Consider the following 9,656-nt stretch of genomic DNA (forward strand, 5'->3'; position numbering starts at 1 on the left):
GTTGGCAGGGATAAAATAGACCCACTAAGGTTGGGTAGAGCGGCACCCCTCACGCGCGCGCGCACACACACACACACACACACACACACACACACACACACACACACCTCCTTCTCTGGGCCATGACATGTTCTTGTGGAGTAAAAACTGGATTTCAACATCAACTTCCTGCCAGATCTGATGCCTCTTTGAACTTGTGCCAGGCCCTGGGCTGGGCTCTGGGCCTGGGGCAGCGAATGAATGCGACCAGGCTCCGGCCCCTGGACCTTGAAGGAGACTCAGCCTGGGTGAGGTGGATGATGACTGCACAGCTCAACCAGGGAGCACCTGGCCCAGCTAAAAATCCCTAGTCCGAAGCCATGGTTGAGCTGGGTGCAGGCCGAGTGCAGGTGCTCATGAGAAGACGCAAAGGAGACGGATGTCCAGGGTTGGTGCAGTGCAGAGGCCAGCAAGGGGGGTGTGTTTGTGCTTGTGTGTGACCAGTGACAGAGAGAGATAGTGTGAACACAGCAGTGTACTTCAGAGCCCTTTGCATGTGACCATTTTATTCCCTTTTGCTGACTGCCAGGACTCAGGGAGGAAGTGAGAATCCCTCAGCCACCCTGTTTGACAGTTTCCATTCTCACTTCAGTGCACCAGGCTCTGTGAGTGTCTTCTCCCTGGGAAAAGCTAGTGAGTGTGGTGAAGGCTTCACGCTCCCACAGCATTCATCTGGAACCTTTTGCTGGAATGATCTCCCCAGCTGGCAGCAGGAGGCCATGTCTAGACAACGGGAAGGCCCACGATGGAGCTAACGGAGGCTTCACGTGTTCAGATGATGGAGCTAATGGAGGCATCACCTGTTCAGATGACGGAGCTAACGGAGACGTCACCTGTTCAGCTGACGGAGCTAATGGAGGAGTTACCTGTTCGGATGACGGAGCTAACGGAGGCGTCACCTGTTCAGGTGACAGCAGCAAAGCATGCCCATTGGCTCTGCGTTTGTAACCTGCCACAAGATGCTATTTGGCCTCTTCTCCAACCTGAGCTTCATGTAGACAGGGCAGGTACAAGCAGCCAGATCACAGATAAGGAGACCAAGACATCCCAGGCGGCTGGGAAGGGGGAAACAACTTTTAACTGAAATATGGGGCACTGTTTGAAAGCTCCAGCTAAACCCCAAATTCGAGGTAGCCTTGAATTTAGTGTCCAGAGTCATTTGGGAAACAACAAATCTCAAAGGAACAGAGAGAAACATGCAATGTCATGGACATGTTGCATTACAAGGACAAAACCCCTCACCTCAAAGATCCGACATGTTCATTCCTTTGGTTCAATGGGGGAAACAGAAATGGCCGATGATGGAATGCTCCAGTAGTCAATCACAGTGGCTGCTCCCGAGGCCTCCTTGCAGCAGGGGAATTGGCCACCAGGGCCGTGGGGTGGCTCTCAGAGAAGGGGCTGGGAAAGGAGCACTCTGTGTGCCCATTAGGCCCAGAGAAGGGCAGCCACCTCATTTCTCAGTCACACGTCCCCAGAGGCCCCTTCTGTGGCACACCCGTGATCTCTCCAGAGGACTCCCCAGCAGTTCCAGCCCCAGCATGCAGGGATATGCCCCCAGAAGGCACTGTGGGGACGCTGCTTCTGAGGCTGCTGTCAAGAATGTCACCTATTTCCATGGGGATTTGTGCAAAATCAGGGTTGGTGGCCAAGAGGAAGTGGCCCTTGGCATCCAGAGTCACTGGGCACTCCCAGCGGTGCCTGGGCTTTTCCCCCGTCCAACACACCCAATGTCATCGAGCACCAACATAAGACAAGGCCGCTCCAGGATCAAGATGAGTCAAGACAAAAGTGAGACCACTGTGCAATCAGACCACACAGGAACATTGTCCAACCTCCCAGAAATGTGTAGACACCTCTCCCTGCCGAGACGGGTGAGGGCCGCGGTGTCACTGGCCGGGCTCCTGCCTCCCCTGAGTCACCCCTCCCTCTAGAGAAGATTGATTGAGATGCCAGATCCTAGCACGACCCCGCCTCCTCACAGCCCCCAATCCAGAGCCAAGCCCAGCTTCCTTGAGTCCCCTGCCAAATCACCTCTCACTGCCCACACCTGACAATCATCAGGCCCTTCTAACCCCGCTGAGACGCCCAGGTTCTCCTCGCTGCACTGAGTGGTAACCCAGCTTGCTCAGCTACAGGTGAGCTCCGGGGGGGTCCCAGGCTGGGGGGCACTAACAGAGTCCTCTTTTAGTGGGGTGGGGTGGCACTGGGGAGGAACCAGTGTCTGCAGGTGGGCAGCACAGACCCTCTCAGCAGGAGTAGCCACATGGAAACCCACGCCAGCCCAAGCTCAGTTCTAACAAAAGCTGGGGAAAAGCTGGGGAGACGCAGCCATCCCTGCACACATGGGGCGGGTGGCGGTCTTTGACTTCCCCACCTGTCCCAGCCACACCCAGAGTCTTTAGGCAGGGAAACGTGGCATGAGTCTGGGACTGCTGGAATGATTGCCAAGCACTGCCATTTCCAACGGGGCTCGGTGGCAGTGGCCCTTCACAGCGGTCCCCAGCCTCTGCTGGGCCTGGCATCATGTTCCAATCCACAGGGACGTCTCCTGCAGACTGCACAGCCTGGGGTCTTTTTGCAGTTGAGTGAGTTCAGACTTGCCAGTTCCAGGCTCTCAGTGGCACCAGCCCAGGCATTTAATAATGTGTGCCCAGAACCCACAGCCAATTCCATATCATTACAATTCGATTGTTAATCACAGGCAGCACCAGGCCCAGCGGACGGCCTGCTGTGCTCCTTCTAGGGTTCTAGAATTCTTCCTGGCTCAGCGCTGGAAGAACAGTGCCAGTCGCGTCTTCTGCAGCTTGCATTGGCCCAAGTGTTCAGCGCTGTGTGTGATCCAACAAGCGCTCAGGCTTTGGAGGCACAGAGAGGCTGTGCCAGGCAGCAGAGTGTGGAGCCCAGTGGGATGGCAGTCCTTGTGACCCCCTCAATTAGTCTCTGTGGTGCACCCAGCCTAATGTCGGGCACTTTTCATGCCCCTCCTGCAACACGCTGGTGGCAACTCCCTGGAATAGATGCCTCCATCCCTGTCTCATAGTCCAGGGAAGCAGGGCCCACAGAAACCAACAGCCAGGACCAAAGTGAGCACCGCAGAATACCCGGGCCCTCCCGTCACCACCGCGCCTCTGTGGGGGAGCTCAATGTGAGTCTCAGCAGGAAGATTGGCAAGGAACCACGGAAGGGGGCGAGGACCCACGGAAGGGGGCAGGGACCCACGGAAGGGGCAAAGTGGGCAGCCCGTCACAGACAAGGTCAGGCAATAGAGGGGCAGGACCTCACTGATCTTTTATAAAGTGTCACTTGTGCATCAAGAGAGGAAGCTGGGTGACCGGCAGGAGGCCAGTCTGAGCTGGTGTCCCGAGCGCTGTGGTCAGGGTGAGCGGGTGAGACGTGGAGCTGCCAGAACCCATGGGTAGATGGAAAGAGGGAAGTTGAGGACACTGCCTGGACCAGGGCCTGAGAAACCAGGCGGTCAGAGGCCCCATGAACTGACACAGGCAAGAGCAGGGAAGGAAGGAGCAGGCCTGGGTGAGAAATTGAAACTTCTCTTTTGGAGTTGTTATGATGGGGGTGCCTGCCTGTCAGATGCCTACGTGGAGAAGCCTCCGGAGCCACTGGCTGTGTGAGTAGCCCTCAGTAAGGAGAGGTCTGAGCTGAGAAGGAGCGGCCACCCTGCAGAGAGGGCGCCCAGGGGAGAATGTGGCGTCCAGGGGGCAGTGAAGCCACACTGCCGAGTGAGGGGTGCTCCAGGCTGCAGAGAAGCTGAGTGGATGATCCAGCCAGACGAGGCCTTCAGGGGGCGTGAGGACAGAGACGGCTCAGGGCGGGTGGAGGGAATCATGGAAGGCGAGGAAGAAGACAGCCAGCATGCATGCTAACACTATCTAGAAGTTTCTTATAACTCAGGAGCAGAGAATCGGGGCAGCAGCTGGGAGTCTGTGGCTGTGGATGGTTTTGGGAAGAGAGTGGTGTGTGGAGGGGACTGACCCAGCAGACATGGAGAGACAGGTGGTGCAGGAGGGTGTGGTCCTATCCCAGCGCGGGTCCTGGAGGGGCGAGTGGGACAGAGCCCGCAAACAAGCAGAGGGGCTGGCCAAGACAGAAGCAGGGGCTACATCCCTCGGAACAGGCCCAGGAAGGCAGAAGCAGGGGGCTGCAGCCCTGGGAACCCACCCAGGAAGGTGGAAGCAGGGGCTGCATCCCTCGGAACAGGGGCCCAGGAAGCACTGGGTCAGTGGCTTCTCTTCAGATGGCTCTGTGTTCTCAGGAAAGTGAGAAGCACCAGCGTTGCTGAAAGTGAGGCGGGAGAGGGCCGAGGAAACAGGAGGAGGTGTGAAATTGTCATTAGGAAAAGTGAGAAAATGGATAGACCAAGGGAGGCAATAAAATTGCCGGCAGGGTGAAGCCCCCACTGGAGATTTGGGTCACAGGGTTTAATTCAAAGCCTTCAGTGTGGCTCTGTTTCTCCCAGCCACAGTCCACCTCTCGGGTACAGGGGCAAGTAGGTGTCCTCAGGTCCCAAAACTGCTGCAGCAGCTCCAGACTCAACATCTTCCTCTCGTAAAGTCTACAGACACTGATCAGGTCACATGGCCATCCCAAAAAGAATCCCTGTGGCTCACTGTCTTACTCTAAAATCACATGCTCCCCCAACCCCCTAAGCCACAGGTAGGGTCTCACCCTGGCAGCTGAGAAACAGGAAGACTGCTTCCACACATAGACTAGGAAGGCAAGACAGCCAGGGCACCAAGAGACAGACAGCTACCACGTGGCTCTGCACTTGGGACAAGGAACAACTACAAAATGCAGCCAGAAATAAATGCTCAGGTGGCATGGGTTTAAAATCAGACGGTGGGATTTTAAAATCAGTCGTCCCCAGACGACTCTGTCTCAATCCCGGAGGTCTCGGGTGGCATGGGTTTAAAATCAGACGGTGGGATCGGGGACGACCCCTTCTCAATCCCGGAGGTCTCGGGTGGCATGGGTTTAAAATCAGACGGTGGGATCGGGGACGACCCCTTCTTAATCCCAGAGGTAGATGCAGGGCAATGGCCTGCTGGATACAGAGGTTTGTCGGGGGGCCTTGCACGCCAGGCTGCCTCCAAGATGAATGCAGGAAAGAAGGGCTTGATCAGCTCTAAGAATGCAGCAGGCAGGAGACAGGACACAGCTCATGAACTGGAAAACACCTGGTCTGAAGGGAGCCCTCCTCATTCGGGGATAAGTAACTCAAACGAGAAACAACCACAGTACCGAGGGGCCGGAAAAACAACCCCACAGTCTAAGGCAGCTGGAAGTCTGCCCCGTGGATTCGGAGAAAAGGTATGCTGTATGGAAGAGTTTATTAAAGGCAGCCGGAGAGAATTTTGGAAATGATATGCATTTTGCCTTGATGTAAAATGTAAGAAAATATGCCCTCTTTGAAACAAGATTGTACAAATCTGCAGGCTGAGTAGAAAGGAAAGTCTTTGAAGTAAGAGGAGCAAGGAAAGTGCTGATGTATGAGCAGAATTAAAATGTGCATGAAAAGGCTAGGCGCAGTGGCTCACACCTGTAATCCCAGCACTTTGGGAGGCCAAGGCGGGCGGATCACGAGGTCAGGAGATCGAGACCATCCTGGCTAACAAGGTGAAACCCCGTCTCTACTAAAAATACAAAAAGAAATTAGCCAGGCATGGTGGCGGGCGCCTGTAGTCCCAGCTACTCGGGAGGCTGAGGCAGGAGAATGGCGTGAACCCGGGAGGCGGAGCTTGCAGTCAGCCAAGATTGCGCCACTGCACTCCACCCTGGTGACAGAGCGAGACTCCATCTCAAAAAAAAAAAAAAAATTGTGCATGAAAGAGACCACAGAGGATGAGGCAAAACTGTGTCACCATCAAATAAGACTGATGAAATGTCTCTAAGAAGAGCAGAGGAGTGAGGAACAGAGAAAGTAAAAGATACATAAAAGACTGCATAAGCTCAGCAGTGAAAACCAGGCATTCCTGGGGAATAAGTCAACACAAACTGAGCTGAAAATTACCTGCTTGCAGATCAAAGAGGCTTACACGGTAATAGGCGAAAGTCCATCCTATAAACATTCTGGCATTTGAAAGATAAAGATTAAAAAATCTACAGGCTTCTCAGCAGAATAAACAGAATGCTTACGAGGGAATAGAAGGTAGGGCTGAGGGTCCTCCACGGTTCTGAATTGCCAGAAGACAACTGTAGAGGGATATGGAGAGGAAAAGTCTGTGGCTCAGTTTCAGTCTCTGTTACTCACTTGTAAAGCAAACAGAAGGATTTGTAGGTATTTGAAAATGTGTGATTCATGCACCTTTCAAGAAAGAAAAAAAATCCTCAAAGATATCCCCTTATCCATCAAGCGGCGATTCAAACGCAAGCACTTCAGTAATGGGGCATTTGGAGGGTATGAAAGGATTGTAGTAGCATCAACACTGCTAAACAGTGTTCACCTAAATAAATGTGGAAGTAAAATAGAGTAAAAGTTAAAAATCCCTGTGCACGGCTCTGAAAACCAAAGAGAGGTTTGGTATTTGTTTTGAGACAACTGCAAGATGAGATTTGGGTAATTACATCGATTCCACATGGCTTCTGACCAGAAATCCCCAAAGGATGACTGCAGGGTTGCTGGTCATTTATTTATTTCTCACCGCACAAGCTGTGGTGTCTGTTGTCAACTCAGCATTACTTATGTCTCCTCTGAAGTTCTCTTAATGGAAAGGAGACCCCGAAAATTTTATTTCCCAGAACCGACTTCCCCGTGTTTCAGGAGTAAAATCAACCAAATAAGAGGCACCGATGTGGATGCCAACAGCAGACAGGAAGGAGAGGCCGCTGTTCACAGAGGCAGTTCAGTTAGGCATGTGGGCAGGAGCAAGGGTGGACGCAGCTCCCAGGAGAGCCCTTGTGAGCCATTTACTTTGCAGTTACAAACTGAACTGGCTCCTGGAAATTTCCAAGCAGTTCCTGAGATTTGCAGCCCCTTCTGGCAAAGTTGTTGGGAGCCACCCCCATGAGTGAACAGGATTTTCATGGCAGCTCTCCAGCCCTTCACTTCACCGGCCCTTGCAATGGTGCATAAGCCTTGAATTCCCTTTATTAAGTCTTTCCTAGTTGGAATAACCACAGCAGCTTCTAGATTCCTGACCAAAGCTGACTGACCTAGTATTTGGGATTTAGCACATTTGTCTCTTACCAAGGCTTCTAGAGAATCTGCAATTTTCTCCTCACCAGGCCCAATTGATGTCATATCATGGAGGTAGTGGGTCAGCATCATGTTCTGTGTAACAGTGAGACAAGCATCCCTGGAGACTGAAAGAGCTGGAGCAATGACATTGACCTGAGGAGGAGCTGTAAAGGTGCACTGCTATTCCTGCCAGGTGAAAGCAACTTGCTTATGGTGTCCTTACTAATAGGTAGAGAATCATACTTCATTACCACCAAACACCTTAAAAGGTGTTCACCAGATGATCTGCACACCAGGCACTAGGAACTGTGTTTATTTCAGTGAAATTGAATCTGAAACTGAAGCTGCCATTGTAATCACCACCTTCAAAATTCACAAGCTCAATCTTTTACCTAGGGAAAACAGAAGTGTTTATGGAGATGCAATAGAAACCACCACCTGTATTAGGCCGTTCTCACATTACTATAAAGAAATACCTGAGACTGTGTAACTTATAAGAAAGAGGTTTAATGGGCTCACGGTTCTGCAGGCTATACAGAAAGCATGGTGGCCTCTGCTTCTGGGGAGGGCTCAGGAAGCTTCTAATCATGGCAGAAGCTAACGGGGAGCAGGCACGTCACATGGAGAAAAAAAAGAGCAAGAGAGAGGGGGTGGGGAGGTGCTGCACACTTTTAATCAGATTTCACAAGAACTCACTCATTATCACAAGGACGTACCAAATGATCCAGTCACCTCCCACCAGGCCCCACTTCCAACATGGGAGATTACAACTGAACATGAGATTTGGGTGGGGCCACAGATCCAAACCAGATCACCACCCCTGCATCCTTCAGGCCTTGCTTGGATCATGGCACTAATCTCTGCAGTTCTCCTGATCATGCCATATTGCTTTTGTTTACTGTTTTAGTAGGTAGAAGACTTTGCAGGGGCCTTCCGCTTGGCCCTTTCTACCATGATGAGCCGTTGGGTCTGGAAATCATGCAGGGATTCTGCCTGTTACCATGTGTGTGTCCCACCTACACATTCAGGCAGGAGGGAATGATCACAAGGTGGTTCAGTAACATGCCAGGCCCACTGTAACTCGAACAGGGGCCAAAACCCCATCAATATCCTGACCACCACAAACCCTTGCTATGATTGGTGAGCCACATGGTCTGGTTGCCCAAGGAATTTGCTCGAGGTCAGAGACAGCGTCCATTCACTCCCCCAAAACTGTGAGGAGTCTTCCTTGGTGCACATCACTCCAGTAAGTGTCTTTGGGGAAGGTTAGGAGGAAATCTTTGTTATAAATTCATGCCAGGACCATGCCTAAGGGGCTATAACATCCCCCCGTATTCAAGGGCCTTCGGGTCTGCCACCTGGCTCAGGTCTGGGGATGGATTGATAAGGGCCCTAAGTTTCTCGGTGACTCAAGCAGGGTCTCTAATTCCCAGAGCCAGATAGGGCATCTTTGTTTCTCTGTTTGCTTTGTGCAGATCAAGGGAAGACCTTAGTGGCCTGTGTGGGGACCTCAATCCCAGAGACACCCTGATCCCTTCATCACCACTGACACTCTGTGGGTTCAACCATGATGATTATGGCTGAGCTCTTGTTTCCCATCCCAATACACAAGCCCACTTTGTCTCTGGAAATTAAGAGCTGCCATTATACCTATGGAATGCGAGAACCCAGTTTCAGTGGGGATGGCTCCTGTTCTCAGCTCTGAGTTGAAAAAGCAGTCATCATAGAGCTTTTCAAGAAAGATCTTGGAACCAGTGGACGCCTCCCAACACCTTAGCCAATGGAGTGTCCTCTGGGCCCTGCAAGTGCATGATGACACAGAGGGTGAGGCTGCAGCACATGACCACCAGACCCACGTGACACGCCCATCCCCCCCATGCCTGACGGTTTCCTCCCCATGTGCCCATGGGAGGCCTGCTTCACTTTGCAATCCGCCACAGCCAGAAGCCCAAGTCCTCTATATCCTCTCCATGACTTATAATTGAATGATTAGTCAAAGAAAATGGGACAGTCTCTAAAGCTGAAAAGATAACCCACAGAGAAAGGATTTCTGCTCGATTAAAGTCTTACGGGTGTCGTGGGATAAGTCACGGATCAGTACGTGCCCAATACTTGACGAGTGTAAAACAGACCTTGGGCCGGGTGCAGTGGCTCACGCCTGTAATCCCAGCACTTTGGGAGGCTGAGGCAGGCGGATCACCTGAGGTCCGGAGTTCGAGACCAGCCTGGCCAACATGGAGAAACCTGTCTCTACTACAAATACAAAATTAGCCGGGCGTGGTGGCAGGTGCCTGTAATCCAGCTACTCCAGAGGCTGAGGCAGGAGAATGGCTTGAAGCCGGGAGGCGGAGGTTGGTGTGAGCCGAGATCACGCCATTGCACTCCAGCCTGGGCAACAAGAGCGAAACTCCGTCTAAAAAAA

The 9,656-nt window shown here is 52.4% G+C and overlaps 4 annotated features.

Moving 5' to 3' along the window:
* Positions 255–314: an enhancer, noted in NCBI's record as "active region_21275". NCBI's record gives its function as "activates an Ori minimal core promoter by ATAC-STARR-seq in GM12878 lymphoblastoid cells {active_cell/tissue: GM12878}" and the evidence as "EXISTENCE:reporter gene assay evidence [ECO:0000049][PMID:35858748]".
* Positions 1,931–2,431: an enhancer, noted in NCBI's record as "H3K4me1 hESC enhancer chr4:7747402-7747902 (GRCh37/hg19 assembly coordinates)". NCBI's record gives its function as "activates a minimal SCP1, AML or CMV promoter by ChIP-STARR-seq in naive H9 embryonic stem cells {active_cell/tissue: H9 hESC(naive)}" and the evidence as "EXISTENCE:reporter gene assay evidence [ECO:0000049][PMID:30033119]".
* Positions 8,590–9,091: an enhancer, noted in NCBI's record as "H3K4me1 hESC enhancer chr4:7754061-7754562 (GRCh37/hg19 assembly coordinates)". NCBI's record gives its function as "activates a minimal SCP1, AML or CMV promoter by ChIP-STARR-seq in naive H9 embryonic stem cells {active_cell/tissue: H9 hESC(naive)}" and the evidence as "EXISTENCE:reporter gene assay evidence [ECO:0000049][PMID:30033119]".
* Positions 9,092–9,591: an enhancer, noted in NCBI's record as "H3K4me1 hESC enhancer chr4:7754563-7755062 (GRCh37/hg19 assembly coordinates)". NCBI's record gives its function as "activates a minimal SCP1, AML or CMV promoter by ChIP-STARR-seq in naive H9 embryonic stem cells {active_cell/tissue: H9 hESC(naive)}" and the evidence as "EXISTENCE:reporter gene assay evidence [ECO:0000049][PMID:30033119]".

The sequence above is a fragment of the Homo sapiens genome, chromosome 4, assembly GCF_000001405.40.
Source record: "Homo sapiens chromosome 4, GRCh38.p14 Primary Assembly".
NCBI classification, from domain to species: Eukaryota; Metazoa; Chordata; class Mammalia; order Primates; family Hominidae; genus Homo; species Homo sapiens.